Source organism: Homo sapiens, chromosome 5, assembly GCF_000001405.40.
Source record: "Homo sapiens chromosome 5, GRCh38.p14 Primary Assembly".
NCBI classification, from domain to species: domain Eukaryota; kingdom Metazoa; phylum Chordata; class Mammalia; order Primates; family Hominidae; genus Homo; species Homo sapiens.
In genome coordinates this window covers 181261198-181281831 of record NC_000005.10, presented here as the reverse complement: position 1 = coordinate 181281831, position 20634 = coordinate 181261198, and the positions used below count along the sequence as shown (strand labels likewise).

General features: G+C 46.4%; 1 long non-coding RNA gene across 4 annotated transcripts, besides 7 other annotated features; it reads right to left on the bottom strand.

The window, feature by feature from the left end:
- Positions 520 to 1222: an enhancer, noted in NCBI's record as "H3K27ac hESC enhancer chr5:180707611-180708313 (GRCh37/hg19 assembly coordinates)". NCBI's record gives its function as "activates a minimal SCP1, AML or CMV promoter by ChIP-STARR-seq in primed H9 embryonic stem cells {active_cell/tissue: H9 hESC(primed)}" and the evidence as "EXISTENCE:reporter gene assay evidence [ECO:0000049][PMID:30033119]".
- On the bottom strand, positions 9525 to 20620 carry TRIM52-AS1 (TRIM52 antisense RNA 1). Of its 4 annotated transcripts, none has more exons than NR_102762.1 (3): positions 20448 to 20620; positions 10143 to 10259; positions 9525 to 9916 (listed from the first exon to the last, which is right to left on the bottom strand). It is a non-coding gene; the product is annotated as a TRIM52 antisense RNA 1 (long non-coding RNA). The 4 variants fall into 4 exon arrangements; NR_102760.1 differs by lacking the exons at positions 9525 to 9916; positions 10143 to 10259 and adding exons at positions 17265 to 17780; positions 18043 to 18204; NR_102761.1 differs by lacking the exons at positions 9525 to 9916; positions 10143 to 10259 and adding exons at positions 17265 to 17780; positions 18066 to 18204.
- Positions 13523 to 14092: an enhancer, noted in NCBI's record as "OCT4-NANOG-H3K27ac hESC enhancer chr5:180694741-180695310 (GRCh37/hg19 assembly coordinates)". NCBI's record gives its function as "activates a minimal SCP1, AML or CMV promoter by ChIP-STARR-seq in naive H9 embryonic stem cells {active_cell/tissue: H9 hESC(naive)}" and the evidence as "EXISTENCE:reporter gene assay evidence [ECO:0000049][PMID:30033119]".
- Positions 14093 to 14662: an enhancer, noted in NCBI's record as "OCT4-NANOG-H3K27ac hESC enhancer chr5:180694171-180694740 (GRCh37/hg19 assembly coordinates)". NCBI's record gives its function as "activates a minimal SCP1, AML or CMV promoter by ChIP-STARR-seq in naive H9 embryonic stem cells {active_cell/tissue: H9 hESC(naive)}" and the evidence as "EXISTENCE:reporter gene assay evidence [ECO:0000049][PMID:30033119]".
- Positions 15741 to 16358: an enhancer, noted in NCBI's record as "H3K4me1 hESC enhancer chr5:180692475-180693092 (GRCh37/hg19 assembly coordinates)". NCBI's record gives its function as "activates a minimal SCP1, AML or CMV promoter by ChIP-STARR-seq in naive H9 embryonic stem cells {active_cell/tissue: H9 hESC(naive)}" and the evidence as "EXISTENCE:reporter gene assay evidence [ECO:0000049][PMID:30033119]".
- Positions 16359 to 16977: an enhancer, noted in NCBI's record as "H3K4me1 hESC enhancer chr5:180691856-180692474 (GRCh37/hg19 assembly coordinates)". NCBI's record gives its function as "activates a minimal SCP1, AML or CMV promoter by ChIP-STARR-seq in naive H9 embryonic stem cells {active_cell/tissue: H9 hESC(naive)}" and the evidence as "EXISTENCE:reporter gene assay evidence [ECO:0000049][PMID:30033119]".
- Positions 20059 to 20308: a silencer, noted in NCBI's record as "silent region_16799". NCBI's record gives its function as "represses an Ori minimal core promoter by ATAC-STARR-seq in GM12878 lymphoblastoid cells {active_cell/tissue: GM12878}" and the evidence as "EXISTENCE:reporter gene assay evidence [ECO:0000049][PMID:35858748]".
- Positions 20419 to 20568: a silencer, noted in NCBI's record as "silent region_16798". NCBI's record gives its function as "represses an Ori minimal core promoter by ATAC-STARR-seq in GM12878 lymphoblastoid cells {active_cell/tissue: GM12878}" and the evidence as "EXISTENCE:reporter gene assay evidence [ECO:0000049][PMID:35858748]".

Below are 20634 nucleotides of genomic sequence, written 5' to 3'. Positions count from 1 at the left end.
TTACTGCTCCAGCCCCCGCCTACCGCTCAGGCCGCCCTCTTACTGCTCCAGCCCCCTCCTACCGCCCCGGCCGCCCTCTTAGTGCTCCAGCCCCCGCCTACCGCTCAGGCCGCCCTCTTACTGCTCCAGCCCCCGCCTACCGCCCCGGCCGCCCTCTTACTGCTCCAGCCCCCCTCCTACCGCTCAGGCCGCCCTCTTACTGCTCCAGCTCCCGCCTACCGCTCAGGCCGCCATGTTACTGCTCCAGCCCCCTCCTACGGCTCAGGCCGCCCTCCTAAAACTCCAGCCACACTGCCATCTCTGTTGCCACCACCATCCAGAGTGAGACGAGCCACGGTGTGGCAGGCTCCAGCCTCCAGCTCCCCCTTCTCCTGGTCCTCTAAGTCGGGGACAGAGTAGCTCAGTGGGAGATACTGGAGAGCCTAAACTGGCGTGAGGCCTCCTCAGCATGCACATTGGGTTATGCGCATGGTTTCTGGACTGCATGTTCTGATTGGGTGAGAGAAAACCTCTAGGCCTTCTCTGATTGGACTTTATTTTCATACTCTGATTGGTTGTCCAGTCCTGGAACATGTAGTCCAGGAACCGCATATGAATAACCTCAGTATATAATTGGTGCTGAAGAAGAGAGGCTCTTCCAGGTTTTTCTGTGTCTGCTCCCGGTGCTGCTCCGAGCCCGGATTAGAGGACCAGGACAGACTGGAGGCTGTAGTTTGCGCACCGCGGCTGGCCTCCCTGCAGTTGGTGGCGACAGAAACTGTAGTGTAGCTGGAGTGGTAGGAAGGGGAAAATAGTTTTGGGATAGATGGAGGGGTAAAGAGGGTGGTTAGTGCCAAAAGGAAAAAAGGATGGCGAGCCAGAGAAGACATTGCATAAAGACGGTGAGAAAAAGATGTTGGGGAAAAAAAATTGAGGGGTAGATGGAGGGGGAAAACAGGGTGGTGAACAGGAGGGAGAGAAGGTTTCATAGAAAGACGGTGGGGAAAAAGTTTTTGGGTAGATGGAAGGGGGAAAGAGAGGGTCGTGAGGGGGGAACGGGGATGAGCAGGAAGGAGAGAAGGTTTGCAAAAATACGGTGGGGAGAAAAGAAAGGGAAAGAAGACTGTAGGTAAAAAGATTTTGAGTAGATGGAGGGGGGAAAAGGGTGACAAGTGGGAGGAGAAAAGAGCGTGCAGAAGAGGGAGGGGGAAGAGAGTGTGGTGAGCAAGAGGGAGAGAAGGTTTTGCAAAAAGACAGTGAGGAGAGAAGCTTTTAGGTAGATGGAGGGGGAAAAGAGGGTGGCAAGTGGGAGGAGAATAGAGAGGGTGGCCAGAGGGAGTGGGGAAAGAGGAATGGGAAAAAGGCTATGGGGAAAATAGTTTGGGGTAGATGGAGGGCAAAAACAGGGTGGCAAGCAGGATAGAGGAAAGAAGAGGGCAGGCGGGAAGCGGGGAAGGCTTTGTGAAAAGATGGCAGAGAAAAATTGGGGAGGTAGATGGGTAAAAGAGCGTGGTGAGCAGGAGTAGAGAAGAGGCTTTGTAAAAAGACGGCGGGGAAATGTTTTTGGGTAGATGGAGAAGGGAAGGAGGGTGGCAAGGAGGAAGGGAGAAAAAGATGATAGGGAAACAGTTTTTGGGTAGATGAAAGGGGAAAGAGGGTGGCGAGCAGCAGGAGTGGGGAGAAGGCTTTGGGAAAAGTTGGGGGAAATGTTTTTGGGGAGATGGAGGAGCAAAAGAGGGTAATGAGAGTGGGAGGTAGAAAAAAGGGTGGCCAGGGAGAGGGAGAAAAGACAGTGGGGAAAAGTTTTGGGGTAGATGGGTGGGGAAACGGTAGTGAGCGGGAGAGTATAGAAGGCTTTGCAAAAAGACAGTGGGGAAAAAATGGTGGGGAAAAAGTTTTGGGGTAGATGGAGGAAGAAAAAGGGTGGCGAGAGAGGGAGCCAAAGACGGTCGGGAAAAAAATTCCTCCTGTTACTGATTTTTTGATACTCTTCCCCTCTGGTCAGAAAAAATAATTGATATGATTTCAGGTTTTTTTGTTTTGTTTTGGTTTGGTTTGGTTTTTTGAGATGGAGTCTCGCTCTGTTGCCCAGGCTGGAGTGCAGTGGTGTGATCTCGGCTCACTGCAAACTCCACCTCCCGGGTTCAAGCCATTCTTTTGCCTCAGCCTCCTGAGTAGCTGGGATTACAGGCATGCGCCACAACGCCCAGCTAATTTTGCGTTTTTAGTTCTAAATGGGGTTTCTCCATGTTGGTCAGGCTGGTCCTGAACTCCGTTGATTGGCCCACCTCTGCCTTCCAAAGTGCTGAGATTACAGGTGTGAGCCACCGCACCTGGCAAGGATGTTGAATTTTATTGAATGTTTTTTCTACATTTATTGAGATAATCATATGATTTTTGTTTTAAATTCTGTTTATGTGGTAAATCACATTTATTGATTTGCATATATTAAATAGTCCTTGGATCCCAGGAATAAAACCTATGTAATCACGATGAACTACATTTTTGATATGCTGATGGATTTGGTTTACTAGCATTTTGTTGAGGATATTTGCATCTATGTTCATCAGATATTGGCCTGTAGTTTGTTGTTGTTGTTTTCTTGCTAGATTTTAGTGTCAGGATGATACTGGTTTTGTAGAATCAGTTAGAGAGGAATTCCTTCTCCTCAATGTTTTAGAATGGTTGCAGTAACATTGATACCATCTATTTTTTTGTATGTTTGGTAAAATTCAGCTGTGAATTCATCTAGTCCTGGGCTTCTCCTGCTTGATAAATATTTTTATTACAAATTCAATTTCATAATTAACTACTGGTCTGTCCAGATTTTTTTAAATTTATAGAGAAAAAATATTTATTTGGTTTATAGTTGTGCAGGCAGTAGAAGCATGGGACTAGCACCTGCTCAGGTTTGGGTGAGACCTCAGAAAGCATCCAATCACAGAGGAAGGCAAAGGGAGGGCCAGTGTATCACGTGTCGAGAGAGAAATCAAGAGCAAGAAGGGGAACATGGCAGGCTGTTTTAAGCAACCAGGTCTCGTGTGACACAACAGAGCAGGGACTCGCTCATCGCCAAGGGGATGGAGCTAAGCAATTTATGAAGGGTCCACCCCCATGATTCAACACCTTCCACTAGGCCCACCACCAACATTTGAGATCACATTCAACAAGAGATTTTGAGGGTAAACACATCTAAACAATGTCATTTCACCCCTATGGCCCCCAAACCTCATGTCTTTCTCATATTGCACAATACAATTATCCTCTCCCAGTAGTCCCCAAAAATCTCAAGCTGTTTCAGCATCAACTCAAAAATCCGAAATATCATCTGAGCTTCTAGGTACGTTCCTCCACCTATGAGCCTATAAGATCAAAACCAAGTTATTTGCTTCCAATATTCAATGCAGTACAGGTGTTGGGTAAATACTCCCATTCCCAAATGGAGAAGTTGGGCAAAAGAAAGGGGCAACAGGCCTCAGGCAAATCTGAAACCCAGTAAGGCATACATTAAACCTTCAAGCTCCAAAATAATTCTTGATTTCATGTCCCGCATCCAGGGCACACTTGTGCAAGGGTGGGTTCCCAAGACCTTATGCAGCTCTGCCTCTGTGGCTTTGCAGTGTACAGTCACCATGGCTGCTGTCTTGGGTCAGAGTTGAGTGCCTGTGGTATTTCTAGGCTCAGGATGAAAGCTTCCCGTGGCTCTACCATTCAGGGATCTCGAGGTGGTGGCCCCATTCCCACAGCTCCAGTAAGCAGTGCCCCAGTGGGGACTCTGTGTGGAGGCTTCAATCCCACATTTCCTGTTGGCACTGCCCTGGTGGACTTTTGGTTTCTTTCTGATTCAGTCTTGGAAGGTTGTGTGTTTCCAGGAATTTACCCATTTTCTCTAGGTTTTCTAGTTTATGCACACAAAGATATTCATAGCAGTCTCTGAGGATCTTTTTTTATGTCGGTGGTATCCTTTGCAATGTCTCATTTGTCATTTTTTATTGTGCTTATTTGAATCTTCTTTTTTTCTTGCATAATCTAACTAGCAATCTATCATTTTTATGTGTCCTTGCAAAGAACCAACTTTTTAATTTTGCTGATTCCTTGTATGGTTTTTTTGGTCCCGATTTCATTAACTTATTCTCTAACCTTTGTTATTTCCTTCTACTACCTTTGGGTTTGGTTTGTTCTTTTCTAGTGTGTTTGTCTATTTTAGCTTGTTAATTTGAGACCTTTCTTTCTTTTTATGTAGGCATTTAGTGTTATAAACTCTCCTTTTAACATTGTTTTTTCTGTATCCCAGACGTTTTGGTATGTTATGTTTCTATTTTCATTTGTTTCAGGAATTTCTTTAAATTTCTGCCTTAATTCTGTTATTTACACAAAAGTCATTCATGAGCAGATTGTTTAGTTTCCATGTACCTCTGTGGTTCTGAGAGTTCTCCATATTGACTTCTAATTTTATTCCACAGTGGTCTGAGAAGATACTTAATATAGTTGCGATTTTTAAAAATTTATTGAGGCTTATTTTATGACTGAGCATGTGGTCAATTTTAGAGAATGTTCCATGTGCAAATGAGAAAAATGTACATTCTATGGTTTCTGGGTGGAGTATTCTGTAGATATCTATTAGGTCTGTTTGGTCAAGAGCCCAATTTGAGTCCACAGTTTCAATGTTAGTTTTTTGCCTAATAATCTGCCTAACTAATAATCTGCTTACTGCTGTCGGTGGGGTGTTGAAGTCCTCCACAATTATTGTACAGCTGTGTATCTCTTTTCTTAGGTCTAGTAATATTTATTCTAAAAATCTGGGTGCTCCAATGTTGGCTGCATATATATTTAAGACAGTTAAGTCTTCTTGTTGAATTGAACACTTTATCATTATATAATGCCCTTCTTTGTATTTTTTTTTACTGTTGTTGGTTTAATGTCTGTTTTATCTGATACAAGAATAGCAATACCTCTCCTTTTTTGTTTTTCATTTATGTGATGAATCTTTTTCCATCCATTTACTTTGAGCCTGTTGGGATCATTACACATGAGATGGGTCTCTCAAAGGCAGCAGAAGTGTCTTGTTTTTTTATCCAGTTTGCCACTCTGTGTCTTTTAAGTGGAGCATTTCAGCCATTTACATTCCAGCTTAATATTGATGTGTTAGGTTTTCTTCCTTTTATAGCATTAGCTAGTTACCTTGTAGTCTCAATTGTTTAATTGCTTTGTAGGTTCTGTACATTTTGTATTCATGTATGCTTTTATCATAGCAAGTATCATTCTTTTATTTTCACGAGTCAAACTCCTTTAAACATTTATTTTAGAGTCAGTCTGGAGGTAATGACTTCCCTTAGCATTTTCCTGTCTGGAAATACCTTATTTTCCTTTCTTTATGAAGCTCAGTCTGGCAGGTTATGAAATTCTTGCATGGCTGGGCGCAATGGCTCACGCCTGTAATCCTAGCACTTTGGGAGGCCGAGGCAGGCAGATCAGCTGAGGTCAGGAGTTCAAGACCAGCCTGGCCAACATGAAGAAACTCCATCTCTATTAAAAATACCAAAATTTGCCAGGTGTGGTGGCGGGCACCTGTAATCCCAGCTACTGGGGAGGCTGAGGCAGGAGAATTGCTTGAACCCAGGAAGCAGAGGTTGCAGTGAGCTGAGATCACACCACGGCACTCCAGCCTGGGTGGCAAAGTGAGACTCTGTCTCCAAAAAAAAGAAATTATTGGATGGCATTTTTTTTTTTCTTTGAGAAGGCTAACGCTAGGCCCCAATCTTTTCTAGGTTGCAGGGTATCTGCTGCTAAGTCTGTTGTTAATCTAATTTACTTTATAGGTAATTTGGCCCTTTGTTTGAGCTGCCTTTAATATATTTTCTTTTGCATTGACCACAGCTATTCTAATGACTGTGGATGCCTTAGGAATGGGCATCTTGTTTACTATCCCACAGGTGTTCTCTGAATTTCTTATATCTGAATGTCAACCTTTCTAGCAAGACTAGAGAACTTTTCCTAAATTATTCCCTTAAATATACTTTCTTAGTTGGTTACTTTTTATTCTTCTGTTGTAGGAATGCCAATAAGTTATAAGTTTGGTCACTTTACATAATCCCATATTTCTTAAGGGCTTTGTTTTTCAGTTCTTTTTTCTTTTATTTTTGTCTGACTGGGTTACTTTGAAAGACCAGTTTCAAAGTCTAAAATTATTTCTTCTGCTTGGTCTAGTTTATTGTTAAAGATTCCAACTGTGTTTTGAAATTCCATTAGTGAATGTTTTAATTCCAGAAGCTCTATTTGTTTTTTTCTTAATCCAGCTATTTATTTTTCCATATTTCAAATTGTACTTAATGATTGTTTTGCACATAAAATTAATGTATACAAGATTAATGCTTTAAAGGAACTAAGCACCCACCAGACTCAAGAAAAAATGATGTCCTATGATACATCTGAAAAAAAATTTAATCTTTCTATTAATTACAGTTATGCAAATTAAGATAATATGTATTTTTGTCTAGCAAAATAAAATATAAGTATCAGTTTTGGTGAAGCGAAAGCATAATGGACATTAATTTGCCGATTGGTGCTGCAAGTATAAATTGATTCAACATTTTGCAGGGACGTTAGTCAATATGTGTGAAAATTGTACACTAATATCTCTTTACACAGTAATTAAAGTGCTAGGACTTTTTGAAAAGAAAACATGTCTCAATGTGCCCATATTTGTTTCTGTGAAAATGTTTACAAAAAATGTTGTTCATTGAAAGCAATAAAATATTTAATAATAGAGAGAGTAGGCCTGTAAATCATGGAACTTATTCAACAGGGGATGCCTGAAGAGGGTCTAAAAATAATCTATATGTTTAAATAAATAAATTAAAAGAAATTTATTTTAAAATCCTACATTTAATTATATTAAAAATTATCAATTTAGGTGATAGGATTATTGGTAAATTTTAATTTTTTAGCATTTTTGTTCCTTTATGTGCCAATTTTTTGTATTACTGTCTTTTACTCCTTTTGTAGATAAAATATACTGTTTTAACATAAAATAAATGTCATTCATAATTTCTTATACAGTAAGAACATGTTTTGGGGGGTGTTTTGGGGGGAGAGGGGAAGGATAGCATTAGGAGATATACCTAATGCTAAATGATGAGTTAATGGGTGCAGCACATCAGCATGGCACATGTATACATATGTAACTAACTGGCACATTGTGCACATGTACCCTAAAACTTAAAGTATAATAATAATAAAAAATAAATAAATAAATTTTTAAAAAAAAAAGAACATGTTTTTGAGACAGGTTCTTGCTCTGTCACCCAGGCTGGAGTGCAATCATAGCTCACTGCAGCCTCAACCTCCCAGGCTCAAGCTATCCTCCCACCTCAACCTCCCAAGTGTCTGGGACCATGGCTGTGCACCACCATACCTGGCTAACTTTTAAAGAAAGATTATTGTAGAGCCAGTGTCTCACTGTGTTGCCCAGGCCGGTCTCAAACTCCTGGTTCAAACAGTCCTCCTCCCTCAGCCTCCCCAAAGTGTTGGGATTACAGGCGTAAGCCAATGCACACAGCCAGAGCTTTTTTAAAAAAAAGTATGCAATATATTTGGTCTTTAAAAAATGTTTTTGTTTGAAGAGCAAGGTACTCATGCAGGAAAATAATCCAATTTATGCTGCGGTTTAATTTAAAATGAAATCACTTGGCATTATTAAAAAATAAAATTTTGCCCAGGCGCAGTGGCTTACTCCTGTAATCCCAGCATTTTGGGAGGCCAAGGCAGGTGGATCACCTGAGGTCAGGAGTTTGCGACCAGCCTAACATGATGAAACCCCGTCTCTACTAAATACCAAAAAAAAAAAAAAAAAAAAAAGCCGGGTGTGGTGGCCCGTGCCTGTAATCCGAGCTACTCGGGAGGCTGAGACAGGAGAATCACTTGTACCTGGGAGGCAGAGGTTGCAGTGAGCCGAGATCGCGCCATTGCACTCCAGCCTGGGCAACAAGAGTGAAACTCTGTTTAAAAAAAAATTAAAATTAAAATAAAATTTCAAGTGTCCATTTGTTACCAAGAAAATAATTTTAAAAAACATTATTCTAATGCAATCTACAATTGTGTAGAATCATTATAGAATATACCACAGCATACTGCTGAGTTTTATTTGCTATTAAGATTAAGTGGGGCCGCACGGCCAGACAGGCCCTGCTCCTGAGGCCGGGCGGGCTGCGCGCCTGCGATCCTGCGCCTGTGGTCCTGGGGCAGCCCGGACCAGCGCAGGAGAACCCGCGAGCCCAGCGGCGCCTGCCCCGGGCTGCAGCCCCACCTGCCGGCGCGCCGCCTGGGAGCGGCTTCTGGGAGCCCGGCGGCCCCCGCGGTGCAGGCGCGCTGCTAATGGCCTTGCGAGGCTCACTGGGTCTGAGAGGTCGGAGGCTGGGAGTGTCGCTGCTGAAGGCTGTGGTGGACCCGGCTGGATCGCGGATTCTGGGCTAGATCGCAGATTTGGGATCGCGGGTTGGGGTTTGGATCGGGGATTTGGAGCTGGATCGGGGATTTGGGGCAGGGTGGGGGGCCGTGAAAAGGTGCCGTCATCTTACAGGGAGTTGCCCCGGCTGAGGAGCCGGTGGTTGGGTGTCTGAGAAGATTACAGGCGCCCGCCACCACGTCCAGCTAATTTTTGTATTTTTAGTAGAGACGGGGTTTCACCGTGTTGGCCAGGCTGGTCTCAAACTCCTGACCTCGTGATCCGCCCGCCTTGGCCTCCCAAAGTGCTGGGATTACAGGCATGAGCCACCGCACCGGCCTTATCACTACTATTATGGGTTTTTTTGTTTTTTTGTTGTTGTTTTTTGTTTTTTTGTTTTTGAGACTGAGTCTTGCTCTGTCGCCCAGGCTGGAGTGCAGTGGCGCCATCTCTGCTCACTGCAAGCTCTGCCTCCCAGGTTCACGCCATTCTCCTGCCTCAGCCTCCTGAGTAGCTGGGACTACAGGCGCCGCCACCACGCCCGGCTAATTTTTGTATTTTCAGTAGAGACGGGGTTTCACCATGTTAGCCAGGATGGTCTCCATCTCCTGACCTCGTGATCCACCCACCTCGGCCTCCCAAAGTGCTGGGATTACAGGCGTGAGCCACCGCGCCTGGCCTTGGTTGTCAACTTCTACATCAACTCTTGCTGTGAATTCCTCTGCTGAGTCTAGAATCTCTAAAGAAAAAAAAAGTTTATTTTTTTAGTTCAGAGACCAGAAAGTTATTAATTGTAAATGGCATCAGCAGTCCAACACAATGCCCTTAGGGGCAACAAAAAAATTAAGGCAAAAAGATTTTTTAAAGAATTAAAAAAGGGGACTAGAAATGAGTAGAGGAGCAGAAAAAGCAAGAGCACATCCAACTGGTAAATGAGATAAGATCAATTTAGAGAAAATATCCCAAAATGTCTTCAGTGGTACTTGCTGGGGTCATGTACATTTACGTAGGTTTGACCCAAAACAGCAGGCTATCTGCCTCACTGTCAAAACAACACACTTGAGAAATTAGTCAAAGCGTTCACATTTACTGACAGAGGAAATAAGTCTTAAATGTGTAGTTTATTTGTCTATAGAGTAAAGCAATTCCTGCAAAATGTTAAACATAATACCTGAAGAGCCAATGCTTCTTTGCACTCTGGAAAAGAACTGAAATTATCAGAAATTCTGGACTTTATGAGATAAAAATAAGAAATTAATGTAGGTTAGTCTTAAGATTAAAATTTGAAAGAAAAGCAGTTTGGAAAACCTTTTTTTTTTTTTTTCTGATGGAAAGCCCATCCTCTCCTACCTGTCCCTCATAACTGGCAGGTGTCACCTGGTTGGCCGCAGAAGGGCCTGCCAGCCGAGGGACCACATCAGTGTAAGAAGCAGCTTCCACAGGAGCTCAGCCAGGATCCTTGGAAAACGTCGGACCTTGCCAGGCCATGGTGCTCTGTTCACAAAGAGAAGATGCAGTTTCAGTAAAACAAAGAGTGTAATGTGAAATTTGTTAACAAAAATTATTGGCCAGGCGTGGTGGCTCACGCCTGTAATCCCACCGCTGGGAGGCCGAGGCGGGCGGATCACAAGATCAGGAGATCGAGACCATCCTGGCTAACACGGTGAAACCCCGTCTCTACTAAAAATATAAAAAATTAGCCAGGCCTGCTGGCACGCACCTGTAGTCTCAGCTACTCGGGAGGCTGAGGCAGGAGAATCGCTTGAACCTGGGAGGTGGCGGCTGCAGTGAGCTGAGATCGTGCCACTGCACTACAGCCTGGCGACTGAGCAAGACTCTGTATCCAAAAAAACACAAAAAAAAGTAACAGTAATGATAAAGACATCTGAGCAGCAACATACATAGTTACACATTACAAAACAATATTTTCAGTGTCATGTTTATATAATACTGCATTCTATGTTTCTGATCCAACACGGGAGCCTGCTGAGGCCTGGAGGATTTAACAATTGCTAAATACGTAAAGGCTTTAGGTAGTATGTTAATTTGTACTCACAAGCTGGCCTCCAGCAGGACTTCCTACCCCACAGACATAGCTCTGCACCCTTTCTGACCTGGAGATTGGGTGCTCCTGAAGGCCTGGAGAGAACAAGGCCCAGAGCACCAACTGGCCATCAAGTGGACGGGTTGTTGTTGGAGGTGTTGCTAAATGCCCACTCATCAGTCAAGCTTGCTGGGATAAAGCTGTGGGTACATCACACTGAATCAAGGCTGCACCACTGGAGGCCCCCTTCTGTCTCAGAAGCCAGAAAAACAGTGGGTTTGCAAGCCCGTGGAAGATCTAAAGTCTTTTTTAGTTTGGTTGGTTGTTTTGTTTTTGCAAAAAAGGTAAGTAAATTAAAAATGTACACCATTATTTGTCCTGTTTGTCTTTTGGGGACCCTTGCTTGCTTGACAAGGTAACTCCTTTTTTTTTATTCTTTTTTTTTTTTTTTGAGACGGAGTTTCACCATCTCGGCTCACGGCAACCTCTGCCTCCCGGGTTCAAGCGATTCTCCTGCCTCAGCCTCCCCAGTAGCTGGGATTACAGGCATGTGCCACCATGCCTAGCTAATTTTGTATTTTTAGTAGGATGGGGTTTTCTCCATGTTGGTCAGGCTGGTCTTGAACTCCCAACCTCAGGTGATCTGTCCGCCTTGGCTTCCCAAAGTGTTGGGATTACAGTTGTGAGCCACCGCTCCTGGCCAAGATAACTCTAGCAAGGATTTCCCAATGTAGTGCTCCTTCTGCTAACTTATCCCCTGCTGGATTTGTCACCCTGGACCTCATATAGTGCATGATCACTCTGACACTGTAGTTGCTACTTATACAAGCCTGCCCCCTTACACAATAGATCCCCAAAAGCCTCGTTCTCAAATCACCTATATAGTTTGTTTGATAACCTCATGCTCAAGGGACTCATGGCTCGTTATTACTCAGTCCCTCATTAGACACCATGTGCAAGCAAGTCATAAAGATCCACAGGCTTTTACAAGTACCTTCTACTGGCCGAATAGCCTCCCTAAGTTCACCACCTATTGCAAGACCTCAAGCGTGATGGCTTTTTCAGAACCACTGTCTTTCTTTAGATTATCTCTTTAATAAATGCTTCAACTCCTTGTTAAAGGGCACAATAGTATGCCAGCAAAGACATCTCCTTTCCTTAAGGTTGAGAAAAAGGAACAACCTGCCAGCTCAGAGGAAGAGGATCAACTCCCTCACAAGGATCCCTGGTTCAAAAATCTAACTTCTATCTTGCCTAAAATTGCCACTACAAACCATTAGGAGCAGGCACTGTCCTGGAGATACATATATGTGTGTGTGTATACATATATATATATAATATATATGTATATGTGTGTATACATATATATATATAATATATATGTATATGTGTGTATACATATATATATAATATATACGTATATGTGTGTATATATATGGGCAAAAATATATATATTTTTGTTTGTGGGAATAATGAAGAACCCTGGGCTGGTGATTGTTTAAAAGGTTGGACAGCGGGAGGATGTTTGTTAGGATTCCTCCTTTTATGATCTCATTTTCTCCCTTTGGCTGAGAAATTAATAGATATGGTCCTTAAAAAGAGAAGCCTGCCATACATTTTAACATGCATGTGTTAAAAATAGATTTTGTTTGTGTGAAAAATGAACACCAATAAAACTGATAGTTGTCTTCTGATGATAAAGGTAGTATGTGTTCCTGAAAATTTAGAATAAAATGTATATATCATAGGAGAATTCTACCACCCATATAAAACCTTTGTTAACTTTTTGAGGTACTTCTAGTCGTTAAAAAAAACATGTTTGTGTACAAACTTTTTTAGTTACAGCCCTACTTTATAAATTTTGTCATTAAACTTTTTGAAATATTTCATTTTTATTATTTAAATATAATTGAAGTAACAATTCTGTGGTTAAACATTTAAGCATTTTTGTACTTTGTTTATATTGTAAAGAACTTCACACTGAACAACCTTGAAATAATTCCCGGATCACATTTTTTATTTTCATAAGATGGATTCGTGGCCGGGCGCGGTGGCTCACGCCTGTAATCCCAGCACTTTGGGAGGCCGAGGCGGGTGGATCACAAGGTCAGGAGATCGAGACCATCCTGGCTAACACAGTGAAACCCTGTCTCTACTAAAAATACAAACAAATTAGCCGGGCGTGGTGGCGGGCGCCTGTAGTCCCAGCTACTCAGGAGGCTGAGGCAAGAGAATGGCGTGAACCTGGGAGGCAGAGCTTGCAGTGAGCCGAGATCGCGCCACTGCACTCCAGCCTGGATGACAGTGCGAGACTCCATCTCAAAAAAAAAAAAAAGATGGATTCATACATGTTAGCACTGAGTCATTTTTATGGATTGTAATTGGTACCTGGCTTTTCAGAAGGGAGTTCTTATTTGTGCGCCTGTGGGTTAGTCCATCTCAGTACTTCTGTCTGCATTCAGTGCTATCTATAAAGACTTTTTTTTTTGCCACTTTGAAAAGTGGTTTCTTCTTAACGTTTGTAACGAGCATGTCTTCAATTGCTTGTAAGTGAACATATTTATTGAAGGTATATTGGATGTGGCATTTCTTTGGTGAATTGCTTGTGTCCTTTGCCTATTTTTCGATTGACTTTTGGAAGAAAACCGGGCTGTTGTCTTGGAAAATGTCCCTCATTCTGGGTCTTTGTTTCCTGGAAGTGTCATTTAACATGTTCTTGCTCTGTTTCCCCAGATTCCTACAAACTGCACATTAGGATGGAGAGCTTGATTAGATTCAGGCTAAACATTTTTGGCAGGTATGCATGTGTGTGTTTCTAGAAGTTTGCTTAGAGGTAGTCTTAGATAACATTTTCAGCTGCTTCTATGACCATTGGTTGAGGTTTTCTGTGGTACTGGTTGTGGTATTGTGCTTGTTTTCTTTTTCTTTTTGTTTTTGTTTGAGACAGGGTCTCACTCCGTCACCCAGGCTGGAGTGCAGCGGCATGATCTCGCCTCACTGAAACCTCTGCCTCCCGGGTTCAAAGGATTCTCCTGCCTCAGACTCCTGAGTAGCTGGGATTACAGGCGCCTGCCACCGCGCCCCGCTAATTTTTTTGTATTTTTAGTAGAGACAGGGTTTCACCATCTTGGACAGGCTGGTCTTGAACTCCTGACCTCGTGATCCACCCACCTCAGCCTCCCAAAGTGCTGGAATGACAGGCGGGAGCCACTGAGCCCGGCCCGGAAGTTATAAATCTTGCAGTCCTCAGTTATGTGACTCTGGGGCAGTCGGTAACTTACAGAAAACCTGCTAAGCGACAGCAATCAGTGCTTAATTATTCCTATTCTTTAGCAAGGTCCAAGCCCCTGCCATAATACTAACCTTGTCATGTGAATGCAGCCCGAATCTCTGGATGGGGTGGAGGGGGTTCGTTTCCCTTGCCTCCAAGTTTAACTATAAACTAAATCCCTCTCATAGTTATTTTGGCCTCAGTGCTAGAATAACCAAGAGAAAAATACCAAAACAGCCTATAAGGTTAGAAGCCAGGTGGGCCAGTCTGTGGAGAAAAGAAAGAGATCAGACTGTTACTGTGTCTATGTAGAAAGAAGTAGACATAAGAGACTCCATTTTGTTCTGTACTAAGAAAAATTCTTCTGCCTTGAGATGCTGTTAATCTGTAACCCTAGCCCCAACCCCGTGCTCTCTGAAACATGTGCTGTGTCCACTCAGGGTTAAATGGATTAAGGGCGGTGCAGGATGTGCTTTGTTAAACAGATGCTTGAAGGCAGCATGCTCCTTAAGAGTCATCACCACTCCCTAATCTCAAGTACCCAGGGACACAATACACTGCTGAAGGCCACAGGGACCTCTGCTGAGGAAAGCCAGGTATTGTCCAAGGTTTCTCCCCATGTGATAGTCTGCAATATGGCCTCGTGGGAAGGGAAAGACCTGACTGTCCCCTAGCCCGACACCCGTAAAGAGTCTGTGTCGAGGAGGATTAGTAAAAGAGGAAGGCCTCTTTGCAGTTGAGATAAGAGGAAGGCATCTGTCTCCTGCTCGTACCTGGGCAATGGAATGTCTCGGTGTAAAACCCGATTGTATATTCCATCTACTGAGATAGGAGAAAACCGCCTTAGGGCTGGAGGTGGGACATGCTGGCAGCAATACTGCTCTTTAAGGCATTGAGATGTTTGTGTATATGAACATCAAAAGCACAGCACTTTTTTCTTTACCTTGTTTATGATGCAGAGACCTTTGTTCACGTTTTCCTGCTGACCCTCTCCCCACTATTACCCTATTGTCCTGCCACATCCCCCTCTCTGAGAAACACCCAATAATGATCAATAAATACTGAGGGAACTCAGAGACTGGTGCTGGCGCAGGTCCTCCGTATGCTGAGTGCCGGTTCCCTGGGCCCACTTTTCTTTCTCTACGCTTTGTCTCTGTGTCTTTCTTTTCTCAAGTCTCTCGTTCCACCCGACGAGAAACGCCCACAAGTGTGGAGGGACAGGCCACCCCTTCACCAGTCGTGGTAGGTTTCACTCATTGTTCATAATTTGGCAAAGGTGGTTTTGTTCTTTTGGGGGGCTTATGTAATTCAGCTGGGCACTGTCTCTTAGATTCCAGAAGTCCCAGCTGGACACAGTGAACGTGACCAGTGGGTCTGCATCAGGCCTGGTTGTAGGTTTGTGGCAGGTTTGACTATTACAGACTCTGGGAATATTGGTAGTTCTTTATCTGCTCTGCTTGAAATGTGATATCTCCACAGAAAGACACAAATCATACATTTGCAGCTGAAATGAATTTTCAAAGCGTACAGTCAGAACAGGAGATGGATGGAGCATCCCCAGAAATCCTGAGTCCACTGTACTCATTCTCCACCCCCACGTAACCACGGTCTTGCCTTCTCTGGCCCTGGAGTAGTTTTGTCTGTTGTGAGCATCAGAGAATGGAATCGTACAGTCTGATGCTCTTATGCCAGGCTTAATTCACTTAACGTCTATGAGATGCATCCATGACATAGCATGTAGTAAGTTCATTCTCACTTTGATGTAAATATTCCATCATGTAAATAGGCCAAATGTGCTTATGTGTTCTCTGGTTGATAGGAGGGCTGTTTCCAGTTTGGAAGTATTAGGAACAGCACCTTGATCACCTGTATCCATCTTTTGGTGAACATAAGCATGCATTTCTTGCCTCTGGGCATAGGGTTTAGGGTGGAGTCACTGGGTCTGAGGCATATGTATGTTTTGTTTTCAGTATGTATTACTTATTATTGTTTAAACCTTGAAATTAAACTTTCTGGCACGTTGGTCATTTCACTTGGGCAGGCTGGACTGGCCCACACCGGGGAGGGGCCTACCGTGAGATGGGGCTGAGAGCAGGGGGCTGTAACCTGGGCCTTGGGAGTCAACCCCAGCTCTCTCCTGACCTTCTCCCATCCTGGTCCCCCGTCTCCTGTCCTCAGGGAAGGTACCGATGCAGGGAACTCAGGAGCAGGGTGTTTTGATCTTCACTCTGATTAGGGGAAGAACCTGAGCTCAGTCTCCTTCTCCCACCACCTGCCTGGCCTGAAATTCCCACAAACCTAGGAGCCCTTTGGAATTGATGATGATGCATGCAGGGGCCCTCTCTCCTACTGCAGCCAGAGATTGGATGGACAGAGGGGCCAGGCCACTCCACCTCGTGTCCTCTCCCTGGTGCATGGGCCGGGAAGAGTGAAGGGGCTGTGTGCTTAAGGCCTAGCGCTGCAGAGGCTCCGAGAAAACCAGCTCCAGCCCCTGCTCCTCTCAGCCTCATCTAATTTACGGCCAGGCAGGGCAGGGGTTCTGTCTCTTGGGGCCGAGACCCTGGGAGCCTGCAGGACCCTGCCCGCAATGCACTGCAGCTCACTCCCTCTAGCCCTCTTCCGTGTTTTCCCAGGCCAGGACCAACAGTGCCTTCCCCCGAGTTAGTCTCAGTGAGCTACTGCCAAGAGCAATTCAGTGCACAGCCACACTTCTCCCTAACCTAGAGCCCACTCCTCCTCTGCCAGCAGCATTGCCCCGGGCCTCCTCCCCGTTAAAGACTGTGGAGAGGAGGAGCCTAGAGAGCCCTAGCTGAGGCTGTCAAACCCTCGGCGTGGGCAGCTGGCAGGTTGACCCCTGACCCCGGCTTTTTGCCTTGAGGGGAGGCTGTGTGGTTCGTTCGCTGGTGTGACAGCGCAGGGCAAGGAGAAGGTGAGAAGACGCAGGGAGGCAGCGTGGGCCGCAGTCACACTTCTGCTACACCCACATCTGTGAGCTTCTCCACAAAGAGGAGAAAGAAGACAAGGCTAGGGTTGGGCCTTCCCCTTGGCTTTTTTTTTTTTTTTTTTTTTTTTTGAGATGGAGTCTCTCTGTCGCCCAGGCTGGAGTGCAGTGGCGCCATCTCGGCTCGCTGCCAGCTCTACCTCCCGGGTTCACGCCATTCTCCTGCCTCAGCCTCCCAAGTAGCTGGGACTACAGGCGCCTGCCACCACACCCAGCTAATTTTTTGTATTTTTAGTAGAGACGGGGTTTCACCGTGTTAGCCAGGATGGTCTCAATCTCCTGACCTCGTGATCTGCCCGCCTCCGTCTCCTAAAGTGCTGGGATTACAGTCATAAGCCACTGTGCCTGGCCAGGATTTTTTTTTTTTAAGATTGCATGTTGTTCTGTTGCCCAGGCTGAGGGCAGTGGCACCATCACTGCTTACTGCAGCCTTGACCTCCTGGGCTCAAATGATCCTCCCAATTCAGCCTCCCAAGTAGCTGGAACTACAGGCGCACACCATCACACGCAGGTAATTTTTAATTTTTTTAATTTATTTTTATTATTTTTGAGATGGAGTCTCACTCTGTTGCCCAGGCTGGAGTGCAGCAGCATGATCTTGGCTCACTGCAACCTCCACCTCCTAGGTTCACGCAATTCTTCCTCAGCCTCGCAAGTAGCTGGGATTACAGGCACCTGCCGCCACGCCTGGCTAATTTTTGTATTTTTAGTAGTGACGGGGTTTCACCATGTTGGCCAGGCTGGTCTCAAACTCCTGACCTCAAGTGATCCACCCGCCTCAGCCTCCAAAATTGCTGGGATTACAGACATGAGCCACCGCACCCAGCCAATTTTCTTTTTTTTTTTTTTTGTGGAGATGGGGTCTCATGACGTTGCCCAGGCTGGTCTCAAACAGCTGGCTCAAACAATCCTCCCATCTTGGCCTCTTAAAGCACTGGGATTACATGAGTGAGGCACCACACCTGGCCAAGAATTTCCTTAAAGCCTATGAAGTGGTGAGCCTTTCATTTCATGTGGAAGGTTCTGGTGGCTGCAGGATGGCCTGAAATGAGAGAGCAAGTGATCCTTTAGAGAAATGGTTTCCTTTTATCCAGTCTGAAGCTGATGGGGGTGAAATCTGGAGTGGCAGAAGTAAGGCTGGAAAGGAGGAGCTAGATCGGAGGAGAAACATCAGCAGGACTTGGCTGAAATGTGTTGGGTTTGTTCATTCGTTTATTTACTCAGCAGATACACAGGGAGTGCTCGCTGTGTGCTTGGCACTGTGGTCAAGGAACTGAGTATGCAACAAAGAAGAGAACACATACAGTCCTTGCTCTGTGCCACTCACAGTTTGGCACAGGTCCGGAGAGGAAGAGGAGGGCTCCAAGGTGTGCTCAAGGTTCCACTGGGACAGTGGTGTCCTCCCCAAACCAATGACCAATTAGTGAGGGGTGCAGTCATGCCCGTGGGCCTTCAACAGCATTTTACTGAAATAAAACAGAAAATATCAGAGTGCTTTGGATGTCATAAGGGAAAGAACACTGCAGAAATTTTCTTTCTGTTATATATGTGCAGGTCTATATTGGATCAGTATGTGCAATGTACTTCTTATTGAAGGGCAGGTAAAGAAAGAAAAAAAACCTTGTATGGGGCTGAGCGTAGTGGCTCACATCTGTAATTCCCGCACTTTGTAAGGCTGAGGCAGGACTGCTTAAACCAGGAGTTCAAGACTAGCCTGGGCAACATAGCAGGACCTCATCTCTACAAAAAAAAAAATAATAAAAATTAGCCAGATGTGGTAATGCACACCTGTAGTCCCAGCTACTTGGGAGGCTGAGGCAGGATGATCACTTGAGCCCAGGGGTCAAGGGTGCAATGAGCCATGATCATACCACTGCATTTGGCCTGGGCAACAGAGCAAGACCCTCTCTCAAAAAAAAAAAAAATCTAAAAGAGAATGGGTAAATCAGGCATAGTGGTGCATGCCTGTAGTCCCAGCTACTCCACAGGCTGAGGCGGGAGGATCACTTGAGTCCAGGAGTTTGAGGTGGTAGGGTGCAATAATCGTGACTATAAATAGCCACGGCACTTTAGCCTGGGCAACATGACGAAACCCTGTCTCTATAAAAAAATAAAGAAATTAGCCTGGAGTGGTGGTGCATGCCTGTGTTCCCAGCTATTCCAGAAGCTGAAGTGGGAGGACTGCTTGAGCCCAGGAGGTGGAGATTGCTGTGGGCCCAGATCGTGCCACTGCAGGGGGCTACAGGAGTCTAAAAGGGAGGGGACACAATTTCCCCAAATCTCCAATGTTGAGGAGTTCTGCCTACACTCCTTGCCCCAGGATGCCCCCAGCACCAAGGCCAAGAGGGTGTCTTGGCCCTCAGCACTGGGGTAGAACATCTGTACACAGAACCAGGCCACAGGAGAAGGCATACACAGAGCCCATGAGCACCAGCCCCTCTGAGCTGCGTCCAGCCCCCATCTCCATCCTCTGTTCTCTGGGACTACAAATCCAGGCCTGACCTGGTTCTATCCCTACCTGCAGAGACAGAAGACAGAAGGAGACAACCCCTGAGAAGCCTTTCCCCAGGGCCTGATTCCCCCTCCCACTGTAAGATCTCTCAGCCCGCACTTTGGGAGGCCGAGGTGGGCGGATCACGAGGTCAGGAAATCGAGACCATCCTGGCTAACAGGGTGAAACCCCGTTTCTACTAAAAATACAAAAAAAAAAAAATTAGCCGGGCGTGGTGGCGGGCGCCTGTAGTCCCAGCTACTCGGGAGGCTGAGGCAGGAGAGTGGCGTGAACCTGGGAGGCGGAGCTTGCAGTGAGCCGAGATCGCGCCACTGCACTGCATCCTGGGCAACAGCCAGACTCCATCTCAAAAAAAAAAAAAAAAAAAAAAACCTCTCAGCCCTGGATCAGGTCCCCTCTCCAGGAAAGGTGACAGAGTGGAGTCTAAATGACACTGCCCTAGGGCCCCGCTGGGGTGGAAAACAGACCCAGACAGCGCCCCCAGCCCTCCCTCCCCAGGGAGGAGTGAAGGGCATAACAGACAGCGGAGGACACCGGGACAGGAAGGAGGGGCCAGCCGCTCTCAAACTAAGTCTAAACCACGGCGGTGAGGAAGTGTGGTCCCAAATCCAGCCCCCTCCCGGCCGAGCTCACAGAGCTCAGGGCTGGAACTCGGAACCCTGGCCCGACGCAGGCGGCAGCACCGAAGGGAACTTGAGCCCCGGCCCCCTCAGGGGACCCACGACCGGGGCGCAGCTTTGCTGGCAGACGCCGCAATACTGCGCAGCCGCGGCCCCGCAAGCAGAAACAGGGCTGGGTCTGAGGCCTACGTGGAGCTGGGGCCCGACGGCTCACGGAAGGCAGCGGGGGGCACTGGGCGCCCCGGATCCGAGCCTCCCGGGCGGCAGGCCCTCCCAGCTGTGCGGCGCCCGGATCCCCACAAAGGCACCCCAAGCGCGGACGGCGGGACGGGCGACAGCACCAGGGTGGTGTCCCAGGCTTCCCCACCGCCGCGGACCAACTCGGCCCCGGCCCGGGCGGGGCTTCCGGAGAGATTTATCCCCCTTCCCTCTAACCTTCCTGGGGCTCCGGCTCAGGCTGGACAACGGCTCGGAGACCCAGTCCCCCTCAAGTGTTGACCCCCCCACCATCTAGAACCAGCCAACCCACCAAACCACCTCTCCCAAGCCGGGCCTCTTCCCGGCGTCCGCCGCTGACCTGATCAGAGCCGCTCTGCCGGCCCGAGGGAGCTGAGAAGGGGCTTGGGAATGGGGTCTTGAGGAGGGGCTGGCCGGAATGTGCAGCACTAGCCCAGCTGGAGCGGGCGGCGCGGGCGCGCCTGTCCCCCAGCCCACCCAACTCCCGGCCCGCGCGGCCCCCGGCACACCATAGAGACGTGGTCCTC